Below are 18,567 nucleotides of genomic sequence, written 5' to 3' on the forward strand. Positions count from 1 at the left end.
AGCTCATAATGTAAATTAAATCATTGTAATTAATATTGAGAAGACAAACATCTCTTTGCTTTAGTAGGCAAAGCCAGAAGTCTACTATAATGGTTCCACTTAATAGATTACTCCTTCAAATTAAATAATCCATTACGATAGTTCCTTACTTTCCTAAACAGCAATAACTTAAAGGGTGCAAATAAAAGAAAGAATTCCAAATATTTTATTTTCCTCTCATCATAGGAAATGCTATTGTGCAGCACTGAAAATATTTGCATGGCCTAGAAACAAGTACAAGCGGGAGCCATAAGCTATGTGTGTGAATAATCAAAATTATAAGTCAAGTTAGTAAACTGTCCAATAAAATATGTTCTGGCACCCTTCCTTGTTATTTAACTCTACATGACAACCTGAAAGTCCATATTTGAATAGAGAAGTTGTGGACTCCTGGGCTGGCAGCCTGTTCAATGCTCTTTCCATCCCGCTTCAGCTGTGTGAGTGGCCTTGAACATAAGCATGTAGCAATGTTAGGTTGCACTTGTGAGCTCTGTCTGTATCTACAAACAGCTGCACCTTGACAACTCCTCTGGGCTTGGAATGCATCCACTGGTGGTGCTGTTAGCTTTAGGGAACAGGCCAACACAGGCCTTGTATGTGGGTTTGAGAGTTATTTAAGCAGGGAATTCCAGGGTCTTGGGTACCTGGAGTGTGGTCTTGAGCACTTGCAGGAATTGCCTCAGCGAGAGAGAGCCACCTAGCCCAAGATTTCATTCTTCCTTGGCAGTCCACATCCAATGACTGATATAGGTGGGCATGTAAATTCTTGCTAATTTTGTCCCTATGTGGAGCAACACTGATTTAAGCTCCAGTGCTTCCTTTGTGGTGGGCCAAGGCCGTCATGGAACCTGAATTCCCTTCTATCCAAACTTGCTTTCCTTCCCTTTCTTACACAGTTATTTATCATAAGGGCTCTCCCTAATAAACCTTCTGCACACTAAGCTCTGTCTCAGAGATTGTTTCCCAGAGAACTCAGCTGCCTGAGTTCTTGCCCAGCAGGGCAAGACACCTGAAAGTGCAGGGCCAGGGCAGGGCCCTTCTTGCTTCTTCCTAGCATTCTATTGAAGCCATTTACCTCATTTTAAATAGCATGCGTAAGAATCACCTGGTAAGGTGCTTCATTATATGGACACCATGAGCCCACCTCCCAGAGATCCTGATTTATAGGTTTGGAATGCAGCTGAGATATACATAATGAATTTGAACCAATATCCCAGATGATTTTGATGCAGGTAGATTCAATTTGAGCAATTTTTCACTGTAGTAAACATACTCTAAATATAGAATATATTAGGATATAAAAGGAGCCAAGAGCCCTGTTTTTCTGTTTTCCCTCCCTCAAGTCAGGGAGGAACATATTGCTTATTGCTTAATACATGAAGCATATGGAGAAAACATTCAGGGCAGTAATTAGCAATGAAAACAAACAAACAAACTTGTCTGCTTCTGCAAGATTGGGGCATTGCCCTTACCACCTGGTTAACATTTGCAACAATTTCCACCCTGAGCCTACTCAATGACTTTCCCTACCTTTTCCTATAGCACTCATCATTCTCTGCTGTTATATCATTCTCTGCTGCTTATTATATTTAATAAGTAAAATTAAATATTTTACTTATTTAATTACTATTATTGTCTATCTTCACCACTAGAAGTTAAGCTTCATGAAGGCAAAGATTTATGTATAACTTATTGCTGTATTTTTAGAATCAGATGCAGTGTCTCATATACAGGAATGTTCAGTAAATATTTGGTGAGAGAATAAATTAATTTAGTTAAAATCATAGTGGATTATGGAAAAGGAACAGTGGGAATACACTCAACAATTTCCTTCCCCCTCTGAAACACAAGAATTCTTGAAACATCCATCCCCACAGTGAAGAAGGCATTTCAGAGGCAGACATTCCCAGAACTTTTAAGGATTTGGAAAAGAGCTACACTTCCAGCATTCACACAGATTGTGCAAACAGCAAATAGAAATAGAAATAGAAATAGAAATAGTTAAAGGTTAAAAAGAAGTATTTGATGAAAATATGTACTTTATTTTACCAACAGAAGAAATTATAGGAGACCAAGCTGTATGAGCCTGACACAGGGACAATCATAGCCTGACACAGGGACAATCATTAGAACTGAAGACAAACAGAGAACAAACACATGAACAAAAGAAAGACAATAACAAGAAAGTGCATAGACCCAGAACAGAAACAATTGCTTAGTCACTCATGGCTATGGGTTTTATCAACTCCTTAGCAGAGAAAAAAAGGTTTTTTTTTTTAACTCAATTGGTGTATTGTTTTATAATCTGTTTAACATAGACATATTAAAGTTAGTTATTTCCTAAACTGAATGTGGTTTATTCTGTAGTGTGATTGCAATAATTGTCAATTAATCATTTTACTGTTAAAAATAATATCTAGATTGGTCTTGCAGTTTACTTGTGTCCTCACAAATGGAATCTGTTCTAGAATGCATGCCTGGATATGGCCTTCCACTGTTGTAGATGATACCCATTTTAAAAAAAGTAAAAAAGAGCAGAGATAATCATGACCTTTTTGAATGGTACTATTAGTATTAATATCATTGTTATTTAATACTTTTGAAAAATGCTAAGTGATGAATAACTTAAGACAGTCATCCAGTAGAGTGAAGAAAAATACCGGTTGACAAAATCATCAGGGAAAACGTTATCAACTTTCACAAACTAGTAATAGTAGGACCTAAGTGATTTTATATAAGCATATGAAGTATATATTGCATAAATAGACATTAGTACACATTAGTTTCTAGTTCAATATTAATTTCCTATATATTTTCTAAGTGACATGCAATCTCAATAATTTTTTTTATTGTTTTTCCCCTTACTTCCTTTTAGAATTATGCTGCTTGATTTTGGAAAGAATTGTGTTCTTATGCTTTGTTTAACTTTTGCTAAATTCTTTCCTAAAGAAATAATGGCCATTATATTACATGTCAAAAGACACGATAATCTTGCCATATTCCTAAAATGTTGCTAATTTTGCCAATTGGGCTGTAAAAATTCCATCTTCAAATGACATTGGAATTGATACAAGTAATGAGAAAATTTTGAAGAAAATTAGTTAATTTAAAACACTCTTTTATTAGTGCTTTCTGTGAGCATTTTTCAGAAAAATGAAAAACTTAAGTATCACTTCATCCAATTAATTTTTGCCATGTCAGTGAAAGAATACTCTTTTGAGATTATGAATTTGAAGATGTATGAAATTCAAAATTGTAAGTCCTTTTTGGTAGATTTTCCATTTGCAAATAATTTAAAATTTGTTTCCTAGGTGACAATTCTTCAAAAAGGAGTTCAGGTTGAAACCTTATTATAGAAACCATGACAGAGACACGGATTTATTACTGCAGGAGAAAAATAGGCTACCCAATTTACAAACAGGCTGTAGTTTTCTTCTGAGATTTAGGGATGCACTTGGGCTTTAATATGTTGTTTCAATTGAAATATCTTCTCTATTTCAAGCAGATAGGTAGGTGACTTTGATAAACAAGCATACCTTGAAGATATTTCAGGCTTGGTTTTAGACCAACACAAAACAAGGGAATATCACAGTAAAAAGGAAGTCACACAATTTTTTGTCAGTTTCCCAGTGCATATACAGGTTAGTTTATATACTGCAGTCTTATTAATTGTGCAATAGCATCATGTCTAAAAATGCACATAGCTTAGTTAAAAATACTGTGTTGCTATAAATCTCTAATGACCATATGAGCCTTCAGTAAGTAGCAATCTTTTTGCTGATGGACAATCTTGCCTCAGTGTTGATGGCTGCTGACTGATCATGGTGGTGGTTGCTGAAGGTTGATGTGGCTGTAGCAATTTCTTAAAGTAAAATAACAGTGAAGCTTGCCACATCAATGGACACTTTTGCAAAATATTTCTCTGTAGCACACAATGCTATTTGACAGCATTTGACCCAGAGTAGAACTTCTTTCTAAACGGGAGTCAGCCCTCTCAAACCCTGTTGCTGCTTTATCAGCTAAGTTTGTGTAATATTCTAAATTCTTTGTTGTCATTTCAACAATGTTCACAGCATCTTCACAAAGAGTAGATTCCATTTTAAGAAACCACTTTCTTTGCTCATCCGTAAGAAACAACTTCTCATCCCTTAAAGTTTCATCATGAGATTGCAGCAGTTCAGTCACATCCTCAGGGCCCTCTTATTCTAATTCTTTTGCCATTTCTACCACATCTTCAGTTATTTTCTCCACTGAAGTATTGAATATCTCAAAGTTATCTATGAGTGTTGGACTCCCCTTCTTCCAAACTCCTGGTAACTATGATAATTTGACCTCCTCCCATAAATTACAAATGTTCCTAATTTCATATAGAATGGTGAAACCTTTGCAGAAGATTTTTCAACCTACTTTGCCCAGATCCATGAGAGAAATCACTATCTCTATAAGCTATAGCCTTATGCAATGTAGTTACTAAATAACAAGGCTTGAAAGTTGAAAAATACTCCTTGATCTGTGGACTGCAGAATAGACGTTGTGTTAGCAGACACAAAAACAAAATGAATATCCTGAGCAGTTTAGGCCAAAATGTTGGATTATAAGCACGTCATGTGCACTGCCCTCGTGGAGAGGAAACAAAAGGGTTAGTGAACACTGACGCTGTGGGTCGACCATCTGAGAAACCACATTAGGATCCACAAGGCAGCAAGGGACCATGGAGAGCAGAGAAGAGTGAAACTGGACACTAGCCTGTCTGAGCTCAGCACAGAGCCAGGAAAATCTCTCCAACATGGGAAAGGGTGAATGAGTGAGACCCCTGGGGGGATTCATGATCTTCACAGTGACCTGAGCAAGACTGGGAATGGGAGACTTCTGCCCCCACCCTACATCTCCCCACCATCCTTCTAGCCTGAGGCAGAGAGCTACCCAGCACTTTGCAGGAGCAACTCTCCAGTCGAAGGGGACCTCTACAATCTTTGGGCCCCAGAGCAGACCAATACCAATATGGCAGCGCATCATCACCTTAGCCCCAGTAGAAGTCATAGTTATGGTGTCTGGGAGCAGTAAGATTGCTCCACTCCCCCTTGCTGGACAGAGCTTGGCACCAGCTTTCAGCCCAGGAGTTCTGCTTTGGCCCGAACTCGACCAGCCAGTCCACTCACTCCCACCACTGGTAACTGGGTGGGCAATGCTTGCTTGAGCTTCCGGCCCAGCGGTCCCACTTTTTTGTGAGCTCATATGGAGGGCACAGCCTCCAGATATCCTGGGAAACACCTAGATGGCAGGGCCTGTAGACTCACCCGCCCCTTCCACTGATTTCCCAGAGGACAATGCTTGCTAGAGCTTCTGGCCCAGGGGTCCTGCTTCTATGTGAACTCAGCTGGAGGGCACAGCTTCCTGTTGTCCTGGGAAACACCTGTACAGGAAAGCATGTGACCTCACCCACCCCTGCCACGGGTAGCCAGGCAGGCAACCTTGCTTGAGCTTCTTGCCCAGCAGCCCTGCTTCTGTGTGAACTCAGCCAGAGGGCGCAGCCTCCTATTGTCCTGGAAAACACCCAGATGGTGGGGCCTGTGACCTCACCCACCCCTGCCACTGATAACTTTGTGGGCAATGTCTACTAGAGCTTCCTGCCCAGTGGCTCCACTTCTGTGTGAGCTCAGCCAGAGGGTACAGCCTCCTGATGTCCCTGGAGGCACCCAGACAGCAGGGCAGGCAACCCCACCCACCCCCACCAATGTAGCTGATAGGCAATGCTTGCAAGAGCTTATAGCCCAGGTGGTCCAGCTTCTGTGGAAACTCAGCTGGAGGGCACAGTCACTTGTTGTCTTGGGAAACAACAGGACAACAGATCAGGTGACCCCACTCATCTCCACCACTGCTAGCCAACTGAACAATGGCCTGTTAAGGTTTCTGGTCCAGTGGTCCACTTCTATGTAAACTCATCTAGAGGAGGCAGCTTCTTGTTTTCCCAGGAAACACCCGGATGGCAGAGCAAGTGATCCCACCACCCCCCTCACTAGTAGCCAACTGAGCCATGCCTGCTAGAGCTTCGAGCCCAGGGGGCCTACTTCTGCCCCAAGGTGACAGGGTGGGTAACTCCACTCACCCCTAGCCTCTTGTAGCCCAAATATACATGCATCCAACACAGGAGCACCCAAATTTATAAAGCAAGTTGTTAGAAACTTTCAAAGAGACTTGGACTCTCACACAATAATAGTGGGAGACTTCAACACCCCACTGACAGTACTAGACAGATCATTGAGGCAGAAAATTAATAAAGGTATTCAGGACCTGAACGCTATACTTGATCAAATGGAGCTAATAGACATCTACAGAATGCTCCACCCTAAAACAATGGAATGTACATTCTTCTCATCACCACATGGTACATACTCCAAAATCAACCACACATAAAACAATCCTTGGCAATTTCAAAAAAACTGACATCAACTAACCACACTCTGGGAACACAGTACAATAAAAATAGAAATGAATACTAGAAAGTCATTCAAAATCATACAATTATACAAAAATTAAACAGCCTGCTCCTGAATGACTTTTGGGTAAATAATGAAATTAGGGCAGAAATCAAGAAATCTTCGAAAATGATGAGAATAAAGATACAACATACCAAAATCTCTGGGACACACCTAACGCAGTGTTAGGAGGGAAGCTTATAGCACTAAACACCCACATCAAAATGTTAGATCTCAAATGAACAACCTAACATCACAACTAGAAAAACTAGAGTAGCCAGAGCAGATCGACTTCAATCTATTGAAAGACAAGAAATAACCAATATCAGAACTGAACTGAAGGAAATTGAGATACAAAAACCATACAAAAGATCAACAAATCCAGGAGTTGGTTCTTTGAAAAAATTCATAAGGGAGATAGACTACTGGCTAGACTGATAAGGTAAAAAACAGAGAAGATCCAAATAAACACAATTAGAAATGATAAAGGAGATGTTACCACTGACTTCATAGAACTACAAAAAACCGCCAGAGACTACTATGAAAAGCTCTATCCAAACTACAAAACCTATAAAAAATAGGTAAATTTTTGGACACATACAACCTCCCAAGATTGAACCAGGAAAAAATTGAATCCCTGAACAGACCAATAACAAGTTCCAAAATTGAATCAGTAATAAAAAGCCTACCACCAATAACAAAAAAAGCCCAGGATTAGACACATTCGCAGTTGAATTCTACCAGATATAAGAAGAAGAGATTGTATCATTCCTACTGAAATTATTCCAAAAGTTTGAGAAGGAGGGACTTGTCCCTCCTAAGCTCATTCTAAGGTGCCAGCATCATCCTGATATAAAAATCTGGCAGACACACAAAAACAACAACAACAACAAAAACTTAAGGTAAATATCCTTGATGAACATAGCTACAAAAATCCTCCACAAAATACTAGTAAACCAAATCCAGCAGCACGTCAAAAAGCTAATCTACCACACTCTAGTAGGCATTATCCCTGGGATGCAAGGTTGAGGCACAACATACACAAATCAATAAGTGTGATTCATCACATAAACATAACTAAAGCCAAAAAACACACGAGCATCTCGACAGATGCAGAAAAAGCTTTTGATAAAATTTAACATTCCTTCATGTTAAAAACTAGGGAATGAACATACATCAAAATAATAAAAGCCACCAATGACAAACCCACACCTAATATCATACTGAACAGGCAAAATCTGCAAGAATTCCCCTTGAAACCAGGCACAAAACAAGGATGTCCTCTCTCACCACTCCTATTCAATATAGTATTAGAAGTCCTGGCCAGAGCAATCAGTCAAGAGAAAGAAATAAAAGGCATCCAAATAGGAAGAGAGGAAGTCAAGCTATCCCTGTTTGCAGACAGTAAGATCCTATATCTAGAAAACCCCATAGTCTCTGCCCAAACGCTCTGTGATCTAAGAAGCAACTTCAGCAGTTTCTGGATACAAAATCAGTGTATGCGAATTAGTAGAATTCCTATTCACAAACAACATCCAAGCTGAGGGACAAATCAGGAATGCAATCCCATTCACAACTGCCACAGAAAGAATAAGATACCTAGGAGTACAGCTAATCAGGAAGGCATTAATTCTCTACAATGAGAATTACAAAACACTGCTCAAAGAAATTAGAGATAATCACACAAATGGAAAAACATTCCATGATCATGGATAGGAAGAATAAATGTTGTTAACATGGCCATACTGCCCAAAGCAATTTACACATAAAATGCTATTCCTATCAAACTACCAATTATGTTTTTCACAGAACTAGAGAAACTATTTTCAAATTCAAATGGAACCAAATACAGCTTGAATAGCCAAGGCAATCCTGAGAAAAAAGAACAAAGCTGGAGGCAACCCATTACACAACTTCAAACCCTACTACAAAGCTACAGTAACGCAAACAGCATGATACTAGTACCAAAACAAACATATGCACCAATGGAACATAATAGAGTCCAGAAATAATGTTGCACACCTACAACCACCTGATCTTTGACAAAGCTGACAAAAACAAGCAAGGGGGGCTGGGCATGGTGGCTTACACATGTAATCCCAGCACTTTGGGAGGCAGAGGCAGGTGGATCACAAGATCAGGAGATCGAGACCATCCTGGCTAACAAGAAGAAACCCCATCTCTACTAAAAATATAAAAAATTAGCCGGGTGTGGTGATGCACGCCTGTGGTCCCAGCTACTCGGGAGGCTGAGGCAAGAGAATCGCTTGAACCTGGGAGGTGGAGGTTGCAGATATCGCACCAGTGCACTCCAGCCTGGGCGACAGAGTGAGACTCTGTCTCAGAATACAAACAAACAAACAAACAAAAAACAAGCAATGGAGAAATAAATAATTCCCTATTTAATAAGTCAATAAGTGGTGCTGGGATAAGTGGCTACCCATATGGAAGATTAATCCTGAACCCCTTCCTTACAAAAATCAATTCAAGATAGATTAAAGACTTAAATGTAAAATGTATAAATATAAAAACCTTGAAAGATAACCTAGGAAATATCATTCTGGACACAAGACTTGGTAAAGATTTCATGACAAAGACTCCAAAAGCAACTGAAACAACAACAACAACAACAAAATTGACAAATGGGATCTAATTAAGCTTAAGAGCTGTTTCACAGCAAAACAAACTATCAACAGAATAAACAGACAACCTATAGAATGGGGGAAATATTTGCAAATTGCAAATATTGCAATCTGACAAAGGTTCAATAACCAGAATTTATAAAGACACAAATTTACAAGCAAAACACAAACAACCCCATTAAATAGTGGGCAAAGGACTTGAACAGACTCTTTCCAAAAGAAGACATACATGTGGCCAACAAGCACATGAAAAAATGCTCAACATCATAGTCATTAGAGAAATGCAAATCAAAACCACCATGAGATGCTATCTCACACCAGTCAGAAAGGCTATACTAAAAAGTCAAAAAGTAACAGATGGTGTCAACCTTACAAAGAAAAGGGAACACTTATACACTGCTTGTGAGAATGTGAATTAGTTTAACCATTGTGGAAAGCAGTATGGCAATTCCTCGAAGAACTCGAAACAGAAATATCATTCTACCTAGCAATCCCATTATTGAGTATATACCCAGAGGAATATAAATTATTCCACCATAAAGATACATGCACGCATATGTTCCTTGCAGCACTATTCACAATAGCAAAGACAAAAGCTAGAGGCCTAGCTTTTGGCTTACCTCAAATTTGACACGTCCTTCTAGCTTTTGATTTGAAGTGAGAGACATGCAACTCTTTCTCACTTTCTCTGCCATCGTAGGATTATTAATTGGCCTAATTTTAATATTGTTGTGTCTCAGGAAATAGGGAAGCCTGAGAACAAAGAGATAGATTGGGAAATGGCTGGTTCATGGAGCAGTCAGAAAACACACAGCATGCATCAATTAAGTTTGCTGCAGGCATCTTTCATGGTGTCCCCCCAAAATTGCAATAGGAAAATCAAAGATCACTGATTACACATCTCTATGACAGATATAATAATAATAATAATAATAATAATAATAATAAAGTTTGAAGTGTGAGAATTATCAGAATGTGACATGCAGACACAAAGTGAGAATATGCTGTTAGAAAAATGGTACCAACAGACTTGGTAGAAGCAGCTTTGCCACAGACCTTCAGTTTGTAAAAAACAGAGTATCTGTGAGGTGTAATGAAACAAAGTGCCATAAAATGAGGTATGTCTGTATTTAGAACTATGAGATCTGTCTCTACAACCAAATACATTTGTAAAAAATATTTAAATTATTTGTGCAAAACAATAGAGATACCAAGAGGATGAATAATAATCACTTGCAAGGAGAGTATACTCTGTAATAGGACATACCAAAAAAGTCATACACAGTATAACATGGGCTACATGCTTATGATGCCATATTAGGGAAATGGTAAGTGTATTAGTCAGGGTTCTCTAAAAGGACAGAACTAATAGGATAGATGAACACATGAAGAGTTTATTAGGAGAATTGACTCACACGATGACAAGAATTGGCTGTCTGTAAGCTGAGGAGCCAGGAAGCCAGTCTGAGTCCCAAAACCTCAAAAGTAGGGAAGCCGACAGTACAGCCTTCAGTCTGTGGCTGAAGGCCAGAGAGCTCCTGGCAAATCACAAGAGTCTTAAAGCTGAAGAAATTGGAGTCTAATGTTTGAGGGCAGGAAGCATCCAGCATGGGAGAAAGATGGAGGCCAGAAGATTCAGCCAGTCTAGTCTTTCCACATTCCTCTGGCTACATTTATCCTAGCTGCACTGGCAGCTGATTAGGTAGTGCCCACCCAGACTGAGAATGGGTCTGCCTCTTCCAGTCCACTGACTCAAAATGTTAATCTTCAGCAACACCTTAACAGATTTACTTAGGAACAATACTTTGCATCCTTCAATCCAATCAAGTTGACACTCAATATTAACCATCACGGTAAATAAGTTCTATAAAAGAGAGATTGCTGTGGAATTGTTCCATCAAAAAGGCTGTGAGAAAATTTCTCATCATCTGGACTTTGAAGTGCAAGAGTCAATACCATTCAGCAGACATTCATGTCATTGGCAAGACAAATTGGAAATGAAATGAAGTTAAGACTCATGGAGTTCTTCCTGTAGTTCAGGCGCTGCTCATTGTTCTTAAAATGAGTAGTTTTACTTAAGACAAAGAAGTAATCAGTATCTTTGATTTGAAAGTGAAGAAATTTGATGTTCAGAAAAGTTGAAGAAAGATTGCCCAGAGACAAACAGCAAGTAAAGAATTCAAGATGGGAGCCAGGGCCAGGTTTGTCTTTTTCCAAAGCCTGGTTTTTGGGGCACCATGTCTGTTCTTGAAGATGCGAACAGAATGGTCTGAGTAATTAAGAAAAGATGTGATATATGTGGTAGGGAGTTTGAAGCTGAATTTTGGCTGAAGCAGAATATTCTTGATGAAGAGGATTGAGATGTAAAGAGAGAGGAACTGGTGGCAGACTTTGCGAAGCTTGAATTTTATTTTTTAGGCAACTGATTAGTAATCATTGATTATTATGCCAATGTTTGGCTGAATTTAAATGTTCTTCCAGTACCTGGGCTACAATACAACATAGACTACATGCCTATTATGCTGCATTAGATGGATGGTAAATAAATTCTGTAAGGGAGAGGTCAATGTGGAATTGTTATGTCAAAAAGACAGAAAATTTCTCATCTTGACTTTGAATTAAACACTTTTTTATTGTGTTAAAAAACAAAATGAGATCTACCTTTCAACAAGGTTTAATTTTTTTATTATACTCTAAGTTCTAGGGTACATGTGCACAACATGCAGGTTTGTTACCTAGGTATACAAGTTCCATGTTGGTTTGTTGCACCCATCAACTCGTCATTTACATTAGGTATTTCTTCTAATGCTATCCGTCCCCCAGCCCCCCACCCCCTGACAGGCCCCAGTGTGTAATGTTCCCCACCCTGTGTCCATGTGTTCTTGTTGTTCAACTCCCACTTATGAGTGAGAACGTGAGGTGTTTGGTTTTCTGTCCTTGTGATAGTTTGCTTAGAATGATAGTTTCCAGCTTCATCCATGTCCCTGCAAAGGACATGAACTCATCCTTTTTTATGGCCACATAGTATTCCATGGTGTACATGCGTGACATTTTCTTAATCAAGTATATCATTGATGGACATTTGGGTTGGTTCCAAGTCTTTGCTATTGTGAATAGTGCCGCAATAAACATACCTGTGCATGTGTCTTTGCAGTAGCATGACTTATAATCCTTTGGGTATATACCCAGTAATAGGATCGCTGGGTCAAATGATACTTCTAGTTCTAGATCCTTGAGGAATCACCACACTGTCTTCCACAATGGTTGAACTAATTTACACTCCCACCAACAGTGTAAAAGCATTCCTATTTCTCCACATCCTCTCCAGCATCTGTTGTTTTGGAATTTTTAATGATCACCATTCTAACTGGTGTGAGATGGTATCTCATTGTGGTTTTGATTTGCATTTCTCTGATGACCAGTGATGATGAGCATTTTTTCATGTCTGTTGGTTGCATAAATGTCTTCTTTTGAGAAGTGTCTGTTCATATCCTATGACCACTTTTTGATAGGGTTATTTGTTTTTTTCTTGTAAATTTGTTTAACTTCTTCATAGATTCTGGATATTAGCGCTTTGTCAGATGGGTAGATTGCAAATATTTTCTCCCATTCTGTGGGTTGCCTGTTCACTCTGATGATAGTTTCTTTAGCTGTGCAGAGGCTCTTTACTTTAATTAGATCCCATTTGTCTATTTTGGCTTTTGTTGCCATTGCCTTTGGTGTTTTAGTCATGAAGTCTTTGCCCATGCCTATGTCCTGAATGGTATTGCTTAGGTTTTCTTCTAGGGTTTTTATGGTGTTAGGTCTTACATTTAAGTCTTTAATGCATCTTGAGTTAATTTTTGTATACGGTATAAGGAAGTGATCCAGTTTCAGCTTTCTACATATGGCTAGCCAGTTTTCCCAGTACCATTTATTAAATAGGGAATCCTTTCCCCATTGCTTGTTGTTGTCACGTTTGTCAAAGATCAGATGGTTGTAGATGTGTGGTGTTATTTCTGAGGCCTCTGTTCTGTTCCATTGGTCTATATATCTGTTTTGGTACCAGTACCATGCTGTTTTGGTTACTGCAGCCTTGTAGTAGTGTCTGAAGTCAGGTAGCATGAGGCCTCCAGCTATGTTCTTTTTGCTTAAGATTGACTTGGCTATGCGGGCTCTTTTTTGGTTCCATATGAACTTTAAAGTAGTTTTTTCCAATTCTGTGAAGAAAGTCAGTGGTAGCCTGATGGGGATAGCATTGAATCTATAAATTACCTTGGGTAGTATGGCCATTTTCATGATATTGATTCTTCCTATCCATGAGCATGGAATGTTCTTCCATTTGTTTGTGTCCTCTTTTATTTCACTGATCAGTGGTCTGTAGTTCTCCTTGAAGAGGTCCTTCACATCCCTTGTAAGTTGGATTCCTAGGTATTTTATTCTCTTTGTAGTAATTGTGAATGGGAATTCACTCATGATTTGGCTCTCTGTTTGTCTATTATTGGTGTATAGGAATTCTTGTGATTTCTGCACATTGATTTTGTATCCTCAGACTTTGCTGAAGTTGCTTATCAGCTTAAGGAGATTTTGGACGGAGACGATGGGGTTTTCTAAATATACAATCACGTCATCTGCAAAGTCAGAGATAATTTGACTTCCTCTTTTCCTAATTGAATACACTTTGTTTCTTTCTCTTGACTGATTGTCCTAGCCAGAACTTCCAACACTATCTTGAATGGGAGTGGTGAGAGGACATCCTTGTCTTGTGACAATTATCAAAGGGAATGCTTCCAGTTTTTGCCCATTCAGTATGATATTGGCTGTGGGTTTGTCATAAATAGCTCTTATTATTTTGAGGTACATTCCATCAATATCTAGTTTATTGAGAGCTTTTAGCATGAAGGGGTGTTGAATTTTGCCAAAGGCCTTTTCTGCATCTATTGAGATAATCATGTGGTTTTTGTCATAAACATGACAATTTATCCAATAAACATGGATTATGTTTATTGATTTGTGTATGTTGAACCAGCCTTGCATTCCAGGGATGAAGCCAACTTGATTGTGGTGGATAAGCTTTTTGACACGCTGCTGGATTTGGTTTGCCAGTATTTTATTGAGGATTTTCATATTGATGTTCATCAGGGATATTGGCCTAAAATTCTCTTTTTTCATTGTGTCTCTACCAGGCTTTGGTAACAGGATGATGCTGGCCTTATAACATGAGTTAGGGAGGATTCCCTCTTTTTCTATTGATTGAAATAGTTTCAGAAGGAATGGTACCAGCTCCTCTTTGTACCTCTGGTTGAATTTGGCTGTGAATCTGTCTGATCCTAGACTTTTTTGGCTGGTAGGCTATTAATTATTGCCTCTCTTTCAGAACCTGTTATTAGTCTATTTAAAGATTCAACTTCTTCCTAGTTTAGTCTTGGGAGGGTATGTGTGTCCAGGAATTTATCCATTTTTTCTAGGTTTTCTAGTTTATTTGCACAGAGGTGTTTACAGTATTATCTGATGGTCATTTGTATTTCTGTGTGATCAGTGGTGATATATCCTTTACCATTTTTTATGGCGTCTATTTGATTCTTCTCTCTTTTCTTTATTAGTCTTGCTTTTATTGATCTCTTTCAAAAAACCAGCTCCTGGATTCAATTTTTTTGCAGGGTTTTTTGTGTCTCTATCTCCTTCAGTTCTGCTCTGATCTTAGTTATTTTTTGCCTTCTGCTAGCTTTTGAATTTGTTTGCTCTTGCTTCTCTAGTTCTTTTAATTGTGATGTTAGGGTGTCAATTTTAGCTCTTTCCTGCTTTCTCTTGTGGGCATTTAGTGCTATAAATTGCCCTCTACACACTGCTTTAAATGTGTCCAGAGATTCTGGTACATTGTGTCTTTGTTCCCATTGGTTTCAAAGAACATCTTATTTCTGCCTTCATTTTGTTGTCTATCCAGTAGTCATTCAGGAGCAGATAGTTCAGTTTCCATGTAGTTGTGTGGTTTTGAAGGAGTTTGTTAATCCTGAGTTTTAGTTTGATTGCACTGTGGTCTGAGAGACAGTTTCTTGTGATTTCTGTTCTTTTACATTTGCTGAAGAGTGTTTTACTACCAATTATGTGGTCAATTTTAGAATAAGTCCAATGTGGTGCTGAGAAGAATGAATATTCTGTTGATTTGGGGTGTAGAGCTCTGTAGATGTCTATTAGGTCCGCTTGGTGCAGAGCTGAGTCCAACTCCTGGATATCCTTGCTAACCTTCTGTCTCGTTGATCTGTCTAATATTGACAGTGGGGTGCTAAATTTTCCCATTATTATTGTGTGGGAGTCTAAGTCTCTTTGTAGGTCTTTAAGGACTTGCTTTATGAATCTGTGTGCTCCTGTATTGGATGCATATATATTTAGGATAGTTAGCTCTTCTTACTAAATTGATCCCTTTACCATTATGTAGTGGCCTTCTTTGTCTCTTTTGATCTTCATTGGTTTAATGTCTGTTTTATCAGAGACTAGGATTACAACCCCTGCTTTTGTGTGTGTGTGTGTGTGTGCTTTCCATTTCCTTGCTAGATCTTCCTCCATCCCTTTATTTTCAGCCTATGCGCATCTTTGCACGTGAGATGGGTCTCCTGAATACAGCACACCAATGGGTCTTGACTCTTTATCCAATTTGTCAGTCAGTGTCTTTTAATTGGAGCATTTTACCCACTTACATTTAAGGTTAATATTGTTATGTTTGAATTTGATCCTGTCATTATAATGTTAGCTGTTTATTTTGCCTGTTAATAATCCAGTTTCTTCATAGCATCGATGGTCTTTACCATTTGGCATGTTTTTGCAGTGGCTGGTACCGGTTGTTCATTTCCATGTTTAGTGCTTCCTTCAAGAGCTCTTGTAAGGCAGTGTTGTCACCTGGTGGTGACAAAATCTCTCAGCATTTGCTTGTCTATAAAGGATTTTATTTCTCCTTCAATTATTAAGCTGAGTTTGGCCGGATATGAGATTCTGGGTTGAAAATTCTTTTCTTTAAGAATGTTGAATATTGACCCCCACTCTCTTCTGGCTTGTAGGGTTTCTGCCAAGAGATCCACTGTTAGTCTGATGGGCTTCCCTTTGTGGGTAACCCGACCTTTATCTCTGGCTGCCCTTAACATTTTTTCCTTCATTTCAACCCTGGTGAATCTCACAATTATGTGTCTTGGGGTTGCTTTTCTCGAGGAATATCTTTGTGGTGTTCTCTGTATTTCCTGAATTTGAATGTTGGCCTGCCTTGCTAGGTTGGGGAAGTTCTCCTGGATAATATTGTGAAGAGTGTTTTCTAACTTAGTTCCATTCTCCCTATCACTCTCCAGACACCAATCAAACGTATATTTCATCTTTTCACATAGTCCCACATTTCTTGGAGGCTTTGTTCATTTCTTTTCACTCTTTTTTCTCTAATCTTGTCTTCTCACTTTATTTCATTAATTTGATCTTCAATCACAGATATCCTTTCTTCCACTTGATCAAATTGGCTATTGAAGCTTGTGCATGTACCACAAAGTTCTTGTGCCATGGTTTTCAGCTCTATCAGGTCATTTAAGGTCTTCTCTACACTGTTTATTCTAGTTAGCCATTCATCTAACCTTTTTTCAAGGTTTTTAGCTTCCTTGTGATGGGTGAGAACATGGTCCTTTAGCTCAGTGAAGTTTGTTATTACCGACTTTCTTGTGCCTACTTCTGTCAACCCATCAAACTCATTCTCCATCTGGTTTTTTTCCCTTGCTCGCGAGGAGCTGTGATTCTTTGGAGGAGAAGAAGCACTCTGTTTTTTGGAATTTTCAGCTTTTCTGCTCTGGTGTCTCCCCATCTTTGTGGTTTTATCTACCTTTGTTCTTTGATGTTGGTGACCTACAGATGGGGTTTTGGTGTGGATGTCCCTTTTGTTGATGTTGATGCTATTCTTTTCTGTTTGTTAGTTTTCCTTCTAACAGTCAGACACCTCAGCTGCAGGTCTGTTGGAGTTTGTTGGAGGTCCACTCCAGACCCTGTTTGCCTGGGTATCACCAGCCGAGGCTGCAGAACAGCAAATATTGCTGCCTGATCCTTCCTCTGCAAGCTTTGTCCCAGAGAGGCACCTGCCTGTTTGAGGTGTTTGTCAGCCTCTACTGGGAGGTGTTCCCCAGTCAGGCTACATGGGGGTCAGGGACCCACTTGAGGAGGCAGTCTGTCTGTTCTCGGAGCTCAAACGCCACGCTGAGAGAGCCACTGCTCTCTTCAGAGCTGTCAGACAGGGACGTTTAATTCTGCAGAAGCTGTCTGCTGCCTTTTGTTCTACTATGACCTGCCCCCAGATGTGGAATCTATAGAAACAATAGGCCTTGCTAAGCTGCAGTGGGTTCCACCCAGTTTGTGCTTCCAAGCCTCTTTGTTTACACTGTGAGTTACTCAAGCCTCTGCAATGGCAGATGCCCCTCCATCCATCAGGCTGCAGAGTTGCAAGTCAATCTCAGACTGCTGCACTAGCAGTGAGCAAGGCTCTATGGGCATGTGTCCCACCAAGCCAGGCACCAGAAGGTATCTCCTGGTCTAGCAGTTGCTAAGACTGTGGGAAAAGTGCAGTATTTGGTCAGAAGTGTACCGTTTCTCCAAGTAGTCTGTCATGGCTTCCTTTGGCTAGGGAAGGGAAATCCCCTGACTCCTTGCACTTCACGGGTGAAGTGACACCCTGCCCTGCTTCAGCTCACCCTCCATGGGCTGTACACACTGTCCAACCACTCTCAATGAGATGAATCAGGTACCTCAGTTGTAAATGCAGAAATCATCTGTCTTCTGCATCAATCTCGCTGGGAGCTGCAGACCGGAGCTATTCCCATTTGGCCATCTTGGAAGCGACCTAACAAAGTTTTAAGTGTAAAATGGAGCACTGTTAATTAAGCACAATGTTGTATAGCATATCTCTTTGCTTTCTTTTTATTTGTGATTTTGAAAATATCCATATGTTCAAAATGTTTCATAAAGTAATGGTGTTTTCAATATTAATTTAATTTACCTTTTTCAGGTGATGTGTTCCTATAAGGCATTTCAATTTTATTAATGGCTGTTAGTCAAAGTAGATGCTTTTTTAAGAAAAAAAAAATCTGTCTTTAAAACAGTTAATTTTTTTTTCATTTGCAGTTGCAAGATTTAATAGAGTGAAAACAGAGCTCCCATACAAGGGGAGGGGACCCAAAGGGGGTTGCCGCTCCCTGCTCAAATGCCTGGGTTTATATTTTGATCATTGTCACTCCCACTGTGCTCTCAGGTGATATACGATTTGACTATTTCTTTACTTCCTACTTTTAGCCTGATTTGTATTTTAGTGAGCCTTCTTTACTACCTGATTGGTCAGGTTTGAGCTGAGTTACAAGCCAAGCCTATGTTTAAAGGTAGGTGCCGTCACCCTCTCCAGCTAGGCTTAGAAATTATTA

The 18,567-nt window shown here is 39.4% G+C and overlaps 1 non-coding gene across 1 annotated transcript; it reads right to left on the reverse strand.

Moving 5' to 3' along the window:
- Positions 1-4,105: 4,105 nt before the first annotated feature.
- On the reverse strand, positions 4,106-4,168 carry MIR1255B1 (microRNA 1255b-1). Its single transcript, NR_031701.1, has one exon. It is a non-coding gene; the product is annotated as a microRNA 1255b-1 (primary transcript).
- Between the last annotated feature and the right edge of the window lie 14,399 nt (positions 4,169-18,567).

This window comes from Homo sapiens, chromosome 4 (genome assembly GCF_000001405.40).
Source record: "Homo sapiens chromosome 4, GRCh38.p14 Primary Assembly".
NCBI lineage: Eukaryota > Metazoa > Chordata > Mammalia > Primates > Hominidae > Homo > Homo sapiens.